This window comes from Homo sapiens, chromosome 12, assembly GCF_000001405.40.
Source record: "Homo sapiens chromosome 12, GRCh38.p14 Primary Assembly".
Lineage (NCBI taxonomy): Eukaryota > Metazoa > Chordata > Mammalia > Primates > Hominidae > Homo > Homo sapiens.
In genome coordinates, this window is record NC_000012.12 from 56,265,800 (window position 1) to 56,283,059 (window position 17,260).

At 47.5% G+C, this 17,260-nt stretch overlaps 2 protein-coding genes across 3 annotated transcripts in view, besides 7 other annotated features; one reads left to right on the plus strand and one right to left on the minus strand.

The window, feature by feature from the left end:
• Positions 1,036-1,145: an enhancer, noted in NCBI's record as "active region_6485". NCBI's record gives its function as "activates an Ori minimal core promoter by ATAC-STARR-seq in GM12878 lymphoblastoid cells {active_cell/tissue: GM12878}" and the evidence as "EXISTENCE:reporter gene assay evidence [ECO:0000049][PMID:35858748]".
• On the plus strand, positions 1,143-5,167 carry COQ10A (coenzyme Q10A). 2 transcript variants are annotated; one of them, NM_144576.4, is made up of 5 exons: positions 1,143-1,453; positions 1,995-2,141; positions 3,260-3,452; positions 3,661-3,762; positions 4,351-5,167. In NM_144576.4, exons 1-5 carry the CDS (start codon positions 1,320-1,322, stop codon positions 4,516-4,518), a joined length of 744 nt encoding a protein of 247 aa, NP_653177.3. In that variant the 5' UTR covers positions 1,143-1,319; the 3' UTR covers positions 4,519-5,167. The 2 variants fall into 2 exon arrangements, with proteins under 2 accessions (NP_653177.3, NP_001092807.1); NM_001099337.2 differs by lacking the exon at positions 1,143-1,453 and adding an exon at positions 1,527-1,634.
• Positions 1,214-1,713: an enhancer, noted in NCBI's record as "H3K27ac hESC enhancer chr12:56660797-56661296 (GRCh37/hg19 assembly coordinates)". NCBI's record gives its function as "activates a minimal SCP1, AML or CMV promoter by ChIP-STARR-seq in naive H9 embryonic stem cells {active_cell/tissue: H9 hESC(naive)}" and the evidence as "EXISTENCE:reporter gene assay evidence [ECO:0000049][PMID:30033119]".
• Positions 1,237-1,406: an enhancer, noted in NCBI's record as "experimental_29676 CRE fragment used in MPRA reporter constructs". NCBI's record gives its function as "activates a minimal promoter by MPRAs in K562 erythroleukemia cells, with activity observed for both the introgressed and non-introgressed 12:56660905 or rs60542959 variant alleles {active_cell/tissue: K562}" and the evidence as "EXISTENCE:reporter gene assay evidence [ECO:0000049][PMID:34662402]".
• Positions 1,246-1,575: a silencer, noted in NCBI's record as "silent region_4555". NCBI's record gives its function as "represses an Ori minimal core promoter by ATAC-STARR-seq in GM12878 lymphoblastoid cells {active_cell/tissue: GM12878}" and the evidence as "EXISTENCE:reporter gene assay evidence [ECO:0000049][PMID:35858748]".
• Position 1,322: a transcriptional cis regulatory region, noted in NCBI's record as "Neanderthal adaptively introgressed variant 12:56660905 (GRCh37/hg19 assembly coordinates) or rs60542959 in the experimental_29676 CRE". NCBI's record gives its function as "modulates activity of the experimental_29676 enhancer by MPRAs in K562 erythroleukemia cells {active_cell/tissue: K562}" and the evidence as "EXISTENCE:reporter gene assay evidence [ECO:0000049][PMID:34662402]".
• Positions 1,856-1,925: an enhancer, noted in NCBI's record as "active region_6486". NCBI's record gives its function as "activates an Ori minimal core promoter by ATAC-STARR-seq in GM12878 lymphoblastoid cells {active_cell/tissue: GM12878}" and the evidence as "EXISTENCE:reporter gene assay evidence [ECO:0000049][PMID:35858748]".
• Positions 5,366-5,660: a silencer, noted in NCBI's record as "tiled region #15563; K562 Repressive non-DNase unmatched - State 25:Art". NCBI's record gives its function as "represses a minimal TATA promoter and a strong SV40 promoter by Sharpr-MPRA in K562 cells {active_cell/tissue: K562}" and the evidence as "EXISTENCE:reporter gene assay evidence [ECO:0000049][PMID:27701403]".
• CS (citrate synthase) overlaps positions 5,900-17,260 on the minus strand; it is a 28,632-nt gene continuing 17,271 nt past the window's right edge. Inside the window, exons 5-11 of the mRNA NM_004077.3 lie at positions 17,061-17,192; positions 16,621-16,809; positions 10,197-10,396; positions 9,203-9,332; positions 8,978-9,079; positions 7,788-7,997; positions 5,900-7,455 (exon numbers count right to left, since the gene is read on the minus strand). Of these exons, the coding sequence (NP_004068.2) occupies positions 7,285-7,455; positions 7,788-7,997; positions 8,978-9,079; positions 9,203-9,332; positions 10,197-10,396; positions 16,621-16,809; positions 17,061-17,192 (1,134 nt within the window). The 3' untranslated portion in view covers positions 5,900-7,284. The remainder of the gene's footprint in view (positions 7,456-7,787; positions 7,998-8,977; positions 9,080-9,202; positions 9,333-10,196; positions 10,397-16,620; positions 16,810-17,060; positions 17,193-17,260) is intronic.

Below are 17,260 nucleotides of genomic sequence, written 5' to 3' on the forward strand. Positions count from 1 at the left end.
AGGCAAAGTGTTGTTCCTGAGTGTCTGTGAGGGTGTTGCCAAAGGAGATTAACATTTAAGTCAGTGGACTGGAAGGAAGTGACCCAGTCTCAATGGTGGGCACCATCCAATCCGCTGCCAGCGACGCTAGAAAAAGTAGGCAGGGCTAGGCATGGTGGCTAACACCTGTAATCCCAGCACTTTGGGAAGCCGAGACGGGTGGATCACCTGAGGTCAGGAGTTCGAGACCAGCCTGGCCAACATGGCGAAACCCCATCTCTACTAAAAATACAAAAATTAGCTGGGCATGGTGGCGCATGCCTGTAATCCCAGGTACTGGGGAGGGGGGCGGGGCGGGGGTGGTGAGGCAGGAGGATCGCTTGAACCTGGGAGGCCAAGGTTGCAGTGAGCTGAGATCGTGCCACTGCACTCCAGTCTGGGCAACAGAGCGAGACTCCGTCTCAAATAAATAAATAAATAAATAAATAAATAAATAAATAAATAAAAGTAAAAGTAGGTGGAAGAAGCTGACTTGCTGAAGTCTTCCGGCCTTCGTCTTTCTCTCATGCTGGATGCTTCCTGCCCTCGAACATCAGACTCCAAGTTCTTCAGCTTTTGGACTCTTGGACTTACACCAGTGGTTTGCCAAGGGCTCTCGGGGCTTTGGCCACAGACTGAAGGCTGCACTGCCGGCTTCCCTACTTTTGAGGTTTTGGGCCTTGGACTGATCCACCACTGGCCTCCTTGCTCCTCAACTTGCAGACGGCCTAATGTGAGACTTTACCTTGTGATCCTGTGAGGCAATTCTTAATAAACTCCCTTTCATATATACATTTATCCTATTCACTATGTCCCTCTAGAGAACCTAAGGCTCTAACAGCGACGTTCAGAGGATCTACAGATATCTGCGGTAGACACGCCCACGAAGTCGCCTCTGTGCCTACCTATCGGGTCCTGTGACCACAGGCGACCTCAGTCCCCGAACCATCTTTGCAGCTTCTCAAACGCACACCCCAGTGCCCTTTCTCGCCACAGGTGTGAAACTACATCTCCCGACAGGCGGCGTTGTCCCCTTCCTTCCTTCCTTCCTCTCCCAGGCCCGAGCCATGGCAACAGCGTGACGTGGGGGTACCGAGATCTGCGGGAGCAGCGGTCCCGGCTTCAGTTCTAGCCTACCCGGCAGCCTGGACGGGAGCAAGGCGAGAGGTGCTGCCGCCTCCCGTCGCCCCTGCGCTCAGAGGTCCCGAACCAGCCCAGCCGCTGCCTCTTGCCGCTCCGCCTTTGGAGTGAGGAGGGCGCAGCCCGCGTCAGAACTTAGAGGGCCAGGCAGGGTCGCGCGCATGGCCTGGGCGGGCTCGCGGCGGGTCCCAGCTGGGACGCGCGCGGCAGCCGAGCGCTGCTGCCGGCTCTCGCTCAGCCCGGGCGCGCAACCGGCCCCGCCCCCAGGCCCTCTGCCACCGCCGCGACCAATGAGGTGAGAGGGAGGTGACCGCGGCTGAGGGCAGGGGGTCGCTGCGAACCCCGGGGTTCCGCGGTGGAGGGGTGCTATACTGGGATGCAGGCGCGGCGGGGACTGGCAGCAATCATGCCCTGGGAGCTAACGTAGAGCTTTGGATAATGCTTTTGCAAGTTGTACGAGAAGGGAAGTTCTCGGGGTGAGTGTCCAACCTCTTCTTGGCCCTCGCGGGCGCCCTGGGGTCCCCGGGGACAGTGATGCTTCCTTAAAGTCTTAGCTTTCAGCAGTAGTGTAGGCCCAGTCAAAGGCAACTGGCGCTTCCCACACACCCCTTTTTCTCATCCCCCTCACCCCGCCCCCAGCCCTGTCCTTAGCTGCCCTCGACCTTTTGCACTCGTGACTCCCTGGCCAGAGAGAGCCTAGCGGGCTGCAGCAGGTGCTGGGGGGAAAGCTTGTTTGGACGACCTTCGTCTGGGATGCACTCTTCTTCTCCTTCACCTACAAATGATAGAGGATTACGAAGAACTATACGGTTGGCTCCTCTTTCCTTTGGCCTTAGGTTTCTGACCTCCTGCAGCCTCCTCTTGCCTCGGGCTGCCCAGATCTTGGCGGCTGAGGCTGGCTTACCTTCGAGCCGTTCCTTCATGGGATTTGCTGCTCCCTTCACCAACAAGCGAAAGGCTTACTCGGAGCGTAGAATCATGGGGTAAGCATTCTCTGCCTTGCATCCTTGCACCTCCCTTTTCCCTCCAAATAACCCTGTCCAGGCAAGAATGTCAGGGTATCATCGGTGGGCAAGATTCATCCCTAGCCATCCCCCTCCCCAGCTACAATACTGATCCTCAGTCCTCCCCTGCCACTCTTCCGACCTTAATTTCTCCCTTCTTGGTTGCTGTGCATGTGCTTAAGTGAAATGAGACTAGGGTTGGACTATACTTTAAGACAACAGGGCGTAGCTGGGTGCGGTGGCTCACGCCTGTAATCCCAGGACTTTGGGAGGCTGAGGCGGGCCGATCGTTTTAGGTCAGGAGTTCGAGACCAGCCTGGCCAACATGGTGAAACCCTGTCTCCACTAAAAAAAAACACACACACAAGAATCAGCCTGGCACGGTGGCGGGCGCCTTTAATCCCAGCTATTTGGGAGGCTGAGGCAGGATAATCGCTGGAACCTGGGAGGCAGAGGTTGCAGTGAGCTGAGATTGCCCCACTGCACTCCAGCCTGGGCGACAGAGCAAGACTGTCTCAAAAAACAAAACAAAAAACAGGGTGTATTTTTCTGGTGACCATTTAAAAATAATTTTTATGGGTACCTAGTATGTGTAAATTAGCAGCGTAACCTTTTTAGTATATTTTGAGCATAATAGCTAAATTATCGAGCACTTGCTACATGCTAGCAGCTTGACTTAGATGTTTTACATAGATATTTCTCATTTAATTCTCACAACAAACCTATAAATCAGGTGAGAAAATGGAGACACAGGTAATTTACCTAAGGCCACATTGTTAAAAAATTGTTAAGAGCTGGGATCTGATCCTTGTGTGATCACCAGTAAAACTGACAGCCTCTGTTCTCCCTAGATGGTCCCTCTTAAAATCAAAATAAACAATGAATGCAAAAGCATTCTGTAAACTGCAAAATATAAGGTAACAGTATCATAAGGATTTACACGTTTGCTTTTGGGAAGTTATTCATCCAGGCTTATTTGGGATCTGTAGTTCCTGAAGGTGCGTGGTTAGTGGGCAAAGGTATGAATTAGGGGCCTATAGCAAGGAGGAACCTGACCCAGCTGGCAGCTCCTTGGCCTGTGATTCTTCTTCTCCTAGGTACTCAATGCAGGAGATGTATGAGGTGGTGTCCAACGTCCAGGAGTATCGTGAGTTTGTGCCCTGGTGTAAGAAGTCTCTGGTGGTATCCAGCCGTAAGGGTCATTTGAAAGCCCAGCTGGAGGTTGGCTTTCCACCTGTCATGGAACGTTACACCTCTGCAGTTTCCATGGTCAAACCTCACATGGTCAAGGTGAGGCCTGTATGGGAGGGATTGACAAGATTTTTTGTTTTTAGCAGTTTCATATGAAAGTGCTATTTTGGCCTTCCTTGTAAGTACTTTATGTCCATGTGTCAAGTATTTCCCTCATATCAGAAAAGAAGGAAAATGGCTTTCAATTCCTTTATATTGTATCCTATACTTAGTAATGTTATTTAACTACCTGATTACCCTATTCTAGGCTGTTTGTACTGATGGCAAGCTCTTCAACCACTTAGAGACTATTTGGCGATTCAGCCCTGGTATTCCTGCCTATCCTCGAACCTGCACTGTGGACTTTTCGGTGAGTCAGGAGGTTGTGTAGCAGAGGACGAGGACTGGGTATGAGGAAGGGCTGGGGTACTGTGACAGGGTTATTAATTTATTTGAGATGGAGTCTTGCTCCGTCACCCAGGCTGGAGTGCAATGGCACGATCTTGGCTCACTGCAACCTCCACCTTCTGGGTTCAAGCGATTTTCCTGCCTCAGCCTCCCAAGTAGCTGGGATTACAGGAGCCTGCTACCAAGCCCGACTGATTTTTTATTTTTAGTAGAGACGGGGTTTCACCATTTTGGCTAGGCTGCTCTCAAACTCCTGGCCTCAGGTGATCCGTCCGCCTTGGCCTCCCAAAGTGCTGGGATTACAGGCGTGAGCCACCGCACCGACCTGACAGGGTTATTCTTTAAGTATAGCTAGCATTTCCCAAGTCAGTTAGTCTGAGCTTGTGTCAGACTCGTACTCCGTGCTCAGTCCCAAGTTAGGGCTCTTACGGGGATCCACGAACTGGATGGGGAGGGGGAGAAAAGGCACTGAGGAACAGTTTCCTTGCATTTGGCCAGGGACTATCCAACATGGTCTGGAAGTTTCTGACTGTCTCTTACCCATTCCCAGATTTCCTTTGAATTTCGTTCTCTGCTGCACTCCCAGCTGGCCACCATGTTTTTTGATGAGGTTGTCAAACAGAATGTTGCTGCCTTTGAGCGTCGGGCAGCCACCAAGTTTGGTCCAGAAACAGCCATCCCCCGTGAACTGATGTTCCATGAGGTGCACCAGACTTGAGGCAAGGGATTGCTCCCTGACCTCCCTTCTACCCCACTTCCCTACACAATTCTCTTATTTATTTGGTTTGGCTCCTGTTCCAATTTGAAAGGAGTCTGTGTTCATAATACTGTTTCTCCTCTCAATTTCCCAGAAATTGGGTTCTATGCTGGCTGGAAATGTTGGGGGAAAGAGAAGGCAAAGGATGTGGAAATGAGATGTGCTTAGGAAAGGGTCAGGCCCATCGTAGGAGCACCATATGCCTGCAGCCTTTTCACTACGAATTAGAATAAGGACTATGTGGTTGTCTCTGGACCTTATCAAGACACCTTAGTGTCTGACCAGGGGACGATAGTAACTTTTCTAAGGATTGAATAAATTGAGCTTTTCTTCTGGCACAGAGGTACTGAGTGGTAAGTAACTTTTACCCTGCCTGAGATTCCTCAGGAGAAAAGGCAACCTGCCTCCAGCCTGAAATACATAAAGCCTCATTTTAAGACTGTAAGTCCATGCTGCCTGGCTACTAGAGAGCAAGGGGCTTTCTTACCACCAGTGCTGAGGAGAAAAGTACTGAACGGAAACGGAGTTGTCTTTGTACTCTTGAGTTGTACCTTATTCTTCCACTTGGCCTGAGTTTTTATAAAATTTCAATAAATTGTGACAGTGTGAATTTGGCTTTATTATATTGTTTCTTGGGGCAATAATGTAGATATAGTAGAGTAGAACGAAGTTATGGCTTCTTTTCCTGGGGGAGTGAAGGTATAAGAAGGCCTCTTGGACACAGTGTCCCTGCTAACTATAGTAGCACATTCTACAAGCCAGGACCTAGTACCCACCCCCTTGTCTATTTATAGACTTTTTCAGAAGGTCAGTTGCAGCAGGGATCTCAGGACAGAATCATCTGGTCTTGGACCTCCCATATATGTGATGCCCTCAGGACCACCTCTTGTTATTTTTGGGACCTCCTTCAGGGAAGCTATAAAGAGCAGGCACTCCAAGAAGTACCAGAGCCCTCTAGTGGCTCTGGTCCTGAGGTAGCAGTACTAGCCCATTCGTCCTTGGTAGTTTGTTCCTTTCTCTCAGTGGGCTAGACCAGTTCTTGGATTAGTCACATAAGCAATTGAGAATCTCAGCTATAGCCCTTGAGTATGTTACCTTACAACAAAATTAGCAAGGTTAGGGGCTAAACATCAAGGACTTCCTAACCTTGAGGAAGGACAGAAATCTCCTCTGGAAATTTCTCAGGGAGGCTTTCCTCTGGTTAAGGTAAAAGAAAGCCAAACCTGCCTAAAGATAAATGGATACAGATTACTTATAACCCACTAAGTTCAGGATCTTGCTAGCCAGATTCCTTACCTCATAATAAAGGTTCTTCCAGGCCTTATTTAATAATAGGCTCAAGCATTGTTAATAAAAACATTTATTTTGCATTTTATACAGAACAACCTGAAGTCTCCATCATGACTTGACAGTTACCCAGGGGTTTACAGTGTGTCCAACTCAACAGTGTGGTTCTGGGACTGGGTATCCACACAAACACAGGCAGGAGTTTGGAGGAAAGATGGGGGCACAGCAGGAGTGTATCTTAATCCTTTCTCAAAGAAAAAGAAGTAGAGCATTCTGAGTTGCTGAAAACCTGTGCAAATGGGGCTTCTGAAACATTGTACTGTGAGCTCTCAGGGAAAGGGAGGAAAAAGATGTTGATAAATAAGGAGGCAATTTCTTGAGGCAGGGGACGAGGAGGGAGGCTTACTATTTTTAATGCCCTCAGCCCCAGTACCTGATAATCAGAGGAGACCATGTCCAATCTTGAATCAATTCCCTGTTCAAAAAGAGGTGCTAATACCCCGGGGACAAGACTCTGAAAATATCATGCTGGTCATTCCGGAGTTCTATGCCCCACAGCATATTAAAAGATGGGGGTTGGTGGGGGGTGGGGAGGTCAGAAGGTAGTGGCTTGTATTCTGTGGAAGTAAAAAACTTAGTTCACATTAAGCACTGATAAAACCCAATGACTGGGCCCACAGATCTGTTGAGAGGTCTCTAGTAGGGACCAAGAGGGGGAGGTCCAGAACATCCTCTGCCTGAGGTGCAACAGGTGTAGAAAGTCTGGGAGGAGGTGAGTATTAAAGTAATGGGAAACAGAACACTCCCAGACCTTAATTTTAATTGGATAGTTTTAAAAAAAAAATCAAACATTGGGTGCCAGTCACAACAAATGCCATGCCTTTATGGTCACTTGGTAGTATAAAAAAATTGCCAAAGCATGTCCAGCTAACCAACAGGTCTTGCTAGGAGGTGTTTGTGTGCATGGGAGAGGGCCAAGGGGCTTGGTACAGCTGACTATCCAACATGATTCCTATGGAAACAGAAGGGGCAGAGTCCTGGTTTGCTGGCTTATTGAGGGCTTGGCAGAGAAGCTAAAGCTCCAAAGTGACTACAGATTCTCTGCAACCGGCTTTGACCCATGGAAACAGGAGCCAGATTCTCACTCTAGAGATAGTGAGGGGGCCAAACCTACTCATACCACATGCATTAGTCCTGGTCATCCTCCAGGACCATGCGTATGATGGGCAACTCATACCAGGCAGGGGAAGGGAGCTGATTAGGGAAGAAGGGACCATTTTTCATCTTTTAAAGTCTTAATTTATATTTTAACCTCAAACATATTATCAGTGCCTCAGATATAATTTAATCTTAAGTCTTTAAAGGCCCCCTGAAACAAAAGTATACTTTTTATTTAGGCTTCCTCACTTTCTGGTAGTCACTTTCACCCAGTCTCCAGTTTTACCCTGACTTAGAGTCCACAAACTTCATCAGACCCTCTGTGCTCATGGACTTGGGCCTTTCTAGAGGGAAGCCTAAGGCTCGGCTCCAGATGAGCTGTGCCAGTACACCCAATGCTCGTGACACCCCAAACAGGACCGTGTAGTAATTCATCTCCGTCATGCCATAATACTGTAAGGTAGAAGAGAAAAATATTTCATTTAAGGCAGAGGCAGTGGCATGTACAAGTCCTAGGTGATAGAAACCTTAAAAGCTAAATTTTCCATTTTTCTCCAAGGACTTAGCCCAGTCAACCTTAAATAGAAATGACACTGAGAAAAGTATAGCAATTGGGATTCTGAAAACAGAGCAACCCCAACCCCCAACCCTCTCATAGTCAACTTTATCAAAATGCTCTGTGAGGGAAGTCCCTGCTCTGACTAGGAGTTAATTGACTTTGTGCATGGCAGATAACAATAGGGTTTGGTACAAATTAGAGGGAAAAGAGGGAAAGGAGGACTTACCTGGAGCAGCACCCCACTGTGAGCATCTACATTGGGCCAAGGATTCTTGGCTTTACCCTGCTCTAAGAGGACATTGGGCACAATCTTGTACAGCTGAGCAACCAACTTAAACATGGGGTCATTAGGCAGGTGTTTCAGAGCAAACTCTCGCTGACAGGTATATCGCGGATCAGTCTTCCTTAGTACTGCATGGCCATAGCCTGGAACAACCTGTAAAGAGTGAGGAAAAAAGATAGTATTCTCAGTAGAAATTCTTTTATTTTTCGAGACAGGATCTCACTCTGTCACCCAGGCTGGAGTGCAGTGGCATGATCACATCTCACGGCAGCCTCGACCTCCCAGGCTCAGGCAATTCTCCCACTTCAGCCTCCAGAGTAGCTGGGACCACAGGTGCACACCAACACATCTGGCTTTTTTTTTTTTTTTTTTGGTAAAGATGGGGTCTGGCCGTGTGCGGTGGCTCATGCCTGTAATCCCAGCACTTTGGGAGGCTGAGGTGGGCAGATCACCTGAGGTTGGGAGTCCTAGACTAGCCTGACCAACTGACCAACTCGGAGAAACCCCGTCTCTACTAAAAATACAAAATTAGCCGGGCATGGTGGCGCATGCCTGTAATCCCAGCTACTCGAGAGGATGAGGCAGGAGAATCACTTGAACCCGAGAGGCGGAGGTTGCAGTGAACTGAGGTTGCGCCACTGCATTCTAGCCTGGGCAACAAGAGCAAGACTGTCTTTAAAAAAAAAAAAAAAAAAAAGATAGGGTCTGTGTTGCTCAGGCTGGTCTCAAACTCCTGGGCTCACGAGATCCATCCACCCTGGACTCCCAAAGTGCTAAGATTATAAGCGTGAGCCACCACACTCAACCTATTTAAAACTGTTTTTTAGAGAATGGGGTCTTGCTGTGTTGTCCTGGCTGGAGTGTAGTGGCTATTCACAGGAGTGATCTTAGCACACTGCAGCCTTAAACTCCTGGCCTCAAGCAATCCTCTTGCCTCAGCCTCCCAAGTAGGTGGGACTACAGGTGCATGCCATTGTGCCCACCTAGAAATTCTTTTCTAAATTCTTCAAGGTAGATAAATGAAGAAAAAAAAATCTCTAATTTAGGGACCTCTTTCATTCTTTTCTTAATTCTTCCAAATTGCAGAACTTGTGTCTTGGTTTCTTTCCTAGTCGTTAAGCATCTCTGCTTACCCGTCCTGAGTTGAGTGTGTTCCAGATGTAGTCTCGTAACTTCTCATCTGACACATCTTTGCCAACTTCCTTCTGCAGCTGTGTTAGCCAGACAAGCACTTCCTATGGGTAAGGTTTGGGGAAAAAGGGAATGTTAATACATATGCCAGAAGAGAATGCCAAGATCAGAAACAAAGCATGGGGTAAGGAAAACATGTAGCAGGAAAATAAAAAGAATAGTCTTACCTGATTTGCCAGTCCATGGAGAGGCCCTGCCAGCCCGTTCATGGCTGCTGCAAAGGACAGGTAAGGGTCGGAAAGGGCACTGCCCACCAAATGGCTGGTATGGGCACTTACATTGCCACCCTCATGGTCACTGTGGGGAAGTAAGAAGGGAGAGCCAAGGGAAGAAAGAAGGGGCAGATTATGGAAACTTTGCTGTTCTCTTATTTGCCACTTACTAGCCTAGTTATGGGCTCATGCCAGCCTATAGCCAGTCAGTTATACCTAAACTCTTGTAAAAGACATCCTAATCTTGGCCAGGCACAGTGGCTCACGCCTATAATCCTAGCACTTTGGGAGGCCAAGGCGGGTGGATCATGAGGTCAAGAGATCAAGACCATCCTGGCCAACATGGTGAAACCCCGTCTCTGCTAAAAATACAAAAATTAGCTGGGCATGGTGGCACACATCTGTAGTCCTAGCTACTTGGGAGGCTGAGGCAGCAGAATCACTTGAACCTGGAGGTGCAGGTTGCAGTGAGCCAAGATTGCGCCATTGCACTCCAACCTGGCGACAGAGCAAGACTCCATCTAAAAAAAAAAAAAAAAAAAAGCATCCTAATCTCATTACCAGCTTTTGTTCACTCATCCACAGAGCTGGAGAGGTTACTGGTTGATGATGCCTGTATGCTCTGCTCCATGACTCCAACCTAGCTTTAATAGCAATGGCCCCAAAGAGCGAGCTCCTGGAAAGCTGAAGGACCATCTAATGTGAGCAGCTAGTACCTTTTCCCAGCCAGAAGCACCATCTTGTTCTTAGCATGGTTACAGTAATTTCTTTAGGCCTCCTGACCTTGCTTACTAGACCCCTTTCTTGCCTTGGATCATCCTTTATGCCACGTTTCTGTCTTCTTGCTGCCTATCATCTGTTCTCAGAAGATGAGAACATAAAGGAGCTTTTAAAAAAATTTCCCACCAATTGAGGCACCTAGTGGCTGTGGTTGCTGGGTCTAGCTTACCTGTGGATGGTGAGGTACAGGCGCGTGAGCTCAGTGAACTGATGATCAGTATAGCCTAACATGTTGGTGAAATTGTGAGACCAGTCCAGGTTAGAGTCAATGGCCCCAATACCGCTGCCTTCTCTGTAGAGATTTCGGTAGATCTTTGCTGCAACACAAGGTAGCTTTGCGATTAGATCCATAGAGTCTTCATAAATCAACTGACAGAAGAGGAGCAAGATGGAGAAAAAAAAAGGAATTATCAGCAAAGAAGAATTAGGCAGGGATATCGTCTGTCCTCCATGAATTGGGGCTATTTGGGTTGATGGTTAGTTATATGATGGGTTGTTATATATTGAGTATGTTTGAAAGTAGAGAATAACAATCATAACCATTTCACTGAATAACTATTATGACCCAGGCACTAAGTGATTTGTAATACTATCTAATGTACACTAAAACATTATTCCCAATGCTTACTACTACAAAGTATATAATGACTGCCATTTTAAAGATGAGTAAACTAAGGCTCATAGTATTAGGTTAAATGCTAAAGTCAAGTTTGAACTCTGATATGGTTTTCTGAGACAGAGTTTCACTCTTGTTGCCCAGGCTGGAGTGCAATGGCGCAATCTTAGCTCACTGCAACCTCCGCCTCCCAAGTTCAAGTGATTCTCCTGCCTCAGCCTCCTGAGTAGCTGGGATTACAGGCATGTGCCACCATACCCGGCTAATTTTGTATTTTTAGTAGAGACGGGGTTTCTCCATGTTGGTTAGGCTAGTCTAGAAACTCCCGACCTCAGGTGATCTGCCTGCCTTGGCCTCCCAAAGTGCTGGGATTATAGGTGTGAGCCACCATGCCTGGCCCTCTGATATGTTTAATCATGATCTTTTTCACTACACCATGACTTGACGTTCAATGTGTTAAGACAGCAGGTTTTACAGCCAGACACGGCAGCTCATGCCTATAATGCCAGCACTTTGGGAGGCTGAGGCTGGCAGATCATTTGAGGTCAGGAGTTCAAGACCAGCCTGGCCAACATGGTGAAACCTGGTCTCTTCTAAAAACACAAAAAATCAGCCAGGCGTGGTGTGGGCCGGCGCCTATAATCCCAGCTACTCGGGAGGCTGAGGCAGGAGAATTGCTTGAACCCGGGAGGTGGAGGTTGCAGTGAGCCGAGATAGTGCCACTGCACTCCAGCCTGGACCACAGAGCGAGACTCTGTCTAAAAAAAAAAAAAGGGGTCGGGCACAGTGGCTCATGCCTGTAATCCCAGCACTTTCGGAGGCCGAGGCAGGCAGATCATGAGGTCAGGAGATCGAGACCATCCTGGCTAACACGGTGAAACCCCGTCTCTACTAAAAATACAAAAAATTAGCCAGGCGTGGTGGTGGGCGCCTGTAGTCCCAGCTACTCGGGAGGCTGAGGCAGGAGAATGGCGTGAATCTGGCAGGTGGAGCTTGCAGTGAGCCAAGATCGTGCCACTGTACTCCAGCCTGGGCGACAGAGTGAGACTCCGTCTCAAAAAATAAAAAAAAAAGACACTAGGTTTTAATAATGAATTCTATGTTCCATCTTTCAAAGAAAATTCACTGTATGTGCCAAGGATCAAACAGTGATATGCAATTGTTATTTAATAACAAAGACTTCCATTCTTTTTTTTTTTTTTTTTTGAGATGGATTCTCGCTCTGTCGCCGAGGCTGGAGTACAGTGGCGCGATCTCGGCTCACTGCAAGCTCCGCCTCCCGGGTTCACGCCATTCTCCTGCCTCAGCCTCCTGAGTAGCTGAGATTACAGGATGCACCACCATGCCTGGCTTAATTTTGTATTTTTAGTAGAGGGGGGTTTCACCATGTTGGTCAGGTTAGTCTTGAACTCCCGACCTCAGGTGATTTGCCCACCTTGGCCCCTCAAAGTTCTGGGATTACAGGAGTGAGCCACCGCACCCGGCCGAGGCTTCCATTCTTTAAGCACTTACTATGCAACAGGTACTGTGCTATCTATTTGCAGTATTACTTTTTCTTTTCTTACAATAATCCTGTAAGGTAACATATACCTCTTTTTATAAATGAGGAAATTGGGGCTTAGCTAAGTTAACTTGCACAAGGTCACCCATGTAGCCAAGAAGCGTTACCTAGCTTACATTATTAACTCATGCCACTTTTATTTTTTGAGACGGAGTCTCACCCTGTCGCCCAGGCTGGAGTGCAATGGTGCGATCTCAGCTCACTGCAACCTCCGCCTCCGGGGTTCAAGCGATTCTTGTGCCTTGGCCTTCTGAGTAGCTGGGATTACAGGCGTGCGCCACCATGCCTAATTTTTTGTATCTTTAGTAGAGATGGGGTTTCACCATATTGGCCAGGCCGGTCTCAAACTCCTGACCTCAGGTTATCCACCTTCCTCGGCCTCCCAAAGTGCTGAGATTACAGGCGTGAGCCACTGCACCCAGCCCATGTCACTTTTTAAAAAGTTGATAAACAGGCCAAGCACGGTGGCTCACACCTGTAATCCCAGAACTTTGGGAGGCTGAGGAGCGCGGATCAAGAGGTCAACAGATCAAGACCATCCTGGCCAACAAGGCAAAACCCCATCTCTACTAAAAATACAAAAATTAGATGGGCGTGGTGGCTTGCACCTGTGGTCCCAGCTACTCGGGAGGCCAAGGCAGGAAAATTGCTTGAACCTGGGAGGCGGAGGTTGCAGTGAGCCGAGGTCGTGCCACTGCACTGCAGCCTGAGCGACAGAGACTCTGTCTCGGAAAAAAAAAAAAAAAGTTGGTAAATAAAAAGCATATATTTTTGGTTTATTTTATTTTGAGACAAAGTCTCGCTCTGTCACCCAGGCTGGAGTGTAGTGGTGCTATCTTGGCTCACTGCAACCTCTGCCTCCTAGGTTCAAGCGATTCTCCCACCTCGGCCTCCTGAGTAGTTGGGATTACAGGTGTGCACCAGGACGCTCAGCTAATTTTTGTATTATTTTGTAGAGATGGGGTTTCGCCATGTTGGCCAGACTGGTCTTGAACTCCTGACCTCAAGTGATCTGCCTGCCTTGGCCTCCCAAAGTGCTGGGATTACAAGCATGAGTCCCCACGCCTGGCCTACTAGCAAAACTTGATCTGTCAGCTACTTCACAAATTTGACTAAATTCAACAGCTTAAGGCTACTTCACAATTAAACAGCTGGTTGCATCAGAGCAATCAATCTCCTTGTTCTGAGTGACCTTAAGTCAATTAGAGGCCTAGAAGCTAGTTAAACTCTTTCAACTCAAGAGATTACACTATTCATCTAGAGTTAATGGAAATTATTATAGAAGAAATGTTCTGTGCAGAAGATCATCCTCTTAAGGTATATGTAAAAACAACTCCTTAAAAGCTCAAGAAGGCTGGGCACCATGGCTCACTCCTATAATCCCCAGCACTTTGTGAGGCCGAGGCAGGCAGATCACAAGGTCAGGAGTTCAAGATCAGCCTGGCCAACACAGTGAAACCCCGTCTCTATTAAAAACACAAGGCCAGGCGCGGTGGCTCACGCCTGTAATCCCAGCACTTTTGGAGGCTGAGGCGGGTGGATCACGAGGTCAGGAGATCGAGACAATCCTGGCTAACACGGTGAAACCCCGACTCTACTAAAAATACAAAAAATTAGCCAGGCATGGTGGCGGGTGCCTGTAGTCCCAACTACTCGGGAGGCTGAGGCAGGAGAATTGCTTGAACCAGGGAGGCGGAGCTTGCAATCAGCTGAGATCGCACCACTGCACTCCAGCCTGGGCAACAGAGCGAGACTCCATCTCAAAAAAAAAACCAAAAAAAAACAAAACAAAAGCAAAAAAGCAAAAACCAAAAATTAGCCAGGCGTGGTGGTGCGCACCTGTAGTCCCAGCTACCGGGGAGGCTGAGGCAGGAGAATCGCTTGAACCCAGGAGGCAGAGGTTGTGGTGAGCTGAGATTGTGTCACTGCACTCCAGCCTGGGCAACAGAGCGAGACTCCATCTCAAAAAACAAAACAAAACAAACAAACAAAAAGGCCCAGGGTGGTGGCTCACGCCTATAATCCCAGCACTTTGGGGAAGAGGTGGGCGAATCACCTGAGGTCAGGAGTTCTGGACCAGCCGTTCTAGACCAGCCTAGCCAACATGGTGAAACTCTATTAAAAAGACAAGGCCAGGCGTGGTGGCTTAAGCCTGTAATCCCAGCACTTTGGGAGGCCGAGGTGGGCAGATCACGAGGTCAGAGGTTCGAGACCAGCCTGGCCAACATAGTGAAACCCTGTCTCTACTAAAAATACAAAAAGTTAGCTGGGTGTGGTGGTGTGCGCCTGTAATCCTAACTACTCGGGAGGCTGAGGCAGGAGAATTGTGTGAACCCAGGAGGTGGAGGTTGCAGTGAGCTGAGATCGTGCCATTGCACTCCAACCTGGGTGACAGTGCAAGACACCGTCTCCCAAAAAAAACAAAAAAAAAAAACAAAAAAATTAGCCAGGAGTGGTGGTGTGCGCCTGTAATGCCAGCTAGACATGGTGGCATGTGCCTGTAGTCCTTGTTACTTGGGAGGCTGAGGCAGGAGGATCACTTGAGTCCAGGAGTTCAAGGTTACAGTGAGCTATGATCATGCCACTGCATCCTGGCCTGGGTGATTAGAGAGAGACCTATTTCTAAAAAAATAAAAATAAAAATGGCTGGGCACGGTGGTTCACATGCCATTTCACTCCAGCCTGGGTGACACAGCGAGACTCCATCTCAAAAAAATAAATAAATAAATAAAATGAAAAACAAAATATTAAGATTATATGACCTTTTGTACCTGCTAATGTGTGCAGGTACAAATATACACATTCATACCACCTAAAGTGTTTATAAATAAGCCTTTATAAATAAATGCTTTATGTGGTGTGAATGTGTATATTTTGCATCATTCTGATACCAACTCCCCAATGCCAACCAAGTTAATATCAATTTTAAATGCTCTCTGTCTTCCTCAACTGCAAACACAATTCTCTACACACAGTTGGTGCCAAATTAATATTGACCAACTAAATCAATCTAGATTTGCCAAGGACCCAAGGTGGTTGCATCAGAGCAGTGGGTCATGCTCTTCTGTGTCTTGCACCACAGTGAACTCTTTAGGGCCTTCCTGGTGGCTGGCACCTCCTGGCCAAAAATCATTTAATGTACCTGCTTTGTAAAAAGAAAATTTTCTGTTCCTATACTACCTATCTCCAAATAAGGAACAAAAGAAAATGGTACATTCTCCTGTAAACCTAGCCAGATCATTTGTACTTTTACCCAGTGTTTCTGAGTTTGTGGGGTACTAGAAGAGGATGGAAGGAATTATGTACTATGCATTGGGATAAGAAACAATCTTTCCATACCCCAACCAGCGTTGTAAACTATTAAGGACACTTTTCATTTTCAGAGAATAAAGCTCATTTGTTTCTGGATCTGGAGCCTACTCCAAGGATACTAACCACTCTCCCACTCCTGATGGGTATCTTAGGTTGGCTAGCCGAGAACATGACTGACTGGCATTAGTCCTCCTAGACTCCAGAGTTGCAATTGCTGTTCTCCCAACTTGTAAGATTTCTCAAAGTTTTCTGTATTTGAAGAAGATAGTGAGGGAAAGTGACCCTCTGGTGCTAGCATGAGACTGCTCTGTGAAACCTTCCTCAGGGACCCTGCAGTTAAGTCACATCCTTTTCTTTTCTTGTTTTCTCCTTTTTTATGTACAGATAGGATCTCACTATGTTGCCCAGGCTGATCTCAAACTCCTGGCCTTAAGCAATCCTCCCACCTCAGCATCATGACTCACTGGGATTATAGGTGTGAGCCACCTACCTAGGTCTCTTTTCCGTTTCAACAGCCATGTGTACATACCTCTGTTACAGCAAGACTATGGAATTTTTTTTTAGATGGAGTCTCACTCTGTTGCCCAGGCTGGAGTGCAGTGGTGCGATCTCGGCTCACTGAAACCTCCACCTCCCAGGTTCAAGTGATTCTTCTGCCTCAGCCTCCTGAGTAGGTGGGATTACAGGCGCCCGGCATCACGCCTGGCTAATTTTTGTATTTTTAGTAGAGATGGGGTTTCACCATATTGGCCAGACTAGTCTTGAACTCCTGACCTCGTGATCTGCCCGCCTTGGCCTCCCCAAGTGCTGGGATTATAGGCATGAGCCACTGTGCCCGGCCGACTATGGAATTTTAATAATTTCTTTTTTCTGCACGTGTGTCAGCCTAACCAAACAAACAGTCCTGGTGATAGAAACCATGCTCTACTTAGCTTTGTAATTCCAACAACTGACAAAAAACAAGCCTCCAATGAAAATCTGTTAAGTTAGTTTCTGATTAACTCAGAGGTAATTTTTCTAAAGATTCTGTATTTTTTCCCTCCCTTCACACTCAAGTCCTTTGAATCCCCATCACACACCGATCACCCCACCCAAATTTCCTACCTCCCAGTACTTGGTTCGGCTGATACCCTGTGCATATGCTCGGGCAAAGTTACTTTCACTGTTGAGGGCTGTAACAGCTGCACTGAGCTGAGACATGGGGTGTAGATTGGTGGGAAAGTTGTCCAGCATGGTGACCACATGGGAAGGCAGAGCTGCCCTCTTTGCCCACTCTTTTGAGAGCCAAGATACCTGTGGAAAAAGAGACAGTGCTCAGAACACCAGCAAGGACAAGGAAGGAGAAAAATAAAAAAGGACAGCAACATCTGAGTAAAGAAAACCCAAGAGAGGTCAACCCAATCCATTTATACAGCAGAACTCTGCTGATTCCTTCCCTTCACTACGCATCTCTATAAATGCCGGATCAGCATTAAGTGTCTGAGATTAGAGAAAGGCAATGAAGAAGGGGAATGAGAAGAGCTAATAATATCCTTCTGCTTTACCTGTTCCTCTGTTGGGATATGTCCAGTTACCAGCAGCCAAAATAAGCCCTCAGGCAGGGGTTCTTCCCCACCCTTAGCCTTGGGTAGCAGTTTCTGGCATTCAGGGATACTAAAGCCTCGGAAACGGATGCCCTTGAGAGAGGAGAGAGAGAATTACAACTCAAGTTTATAGCCTAGAAGTCACACGACTGGTCTTACTC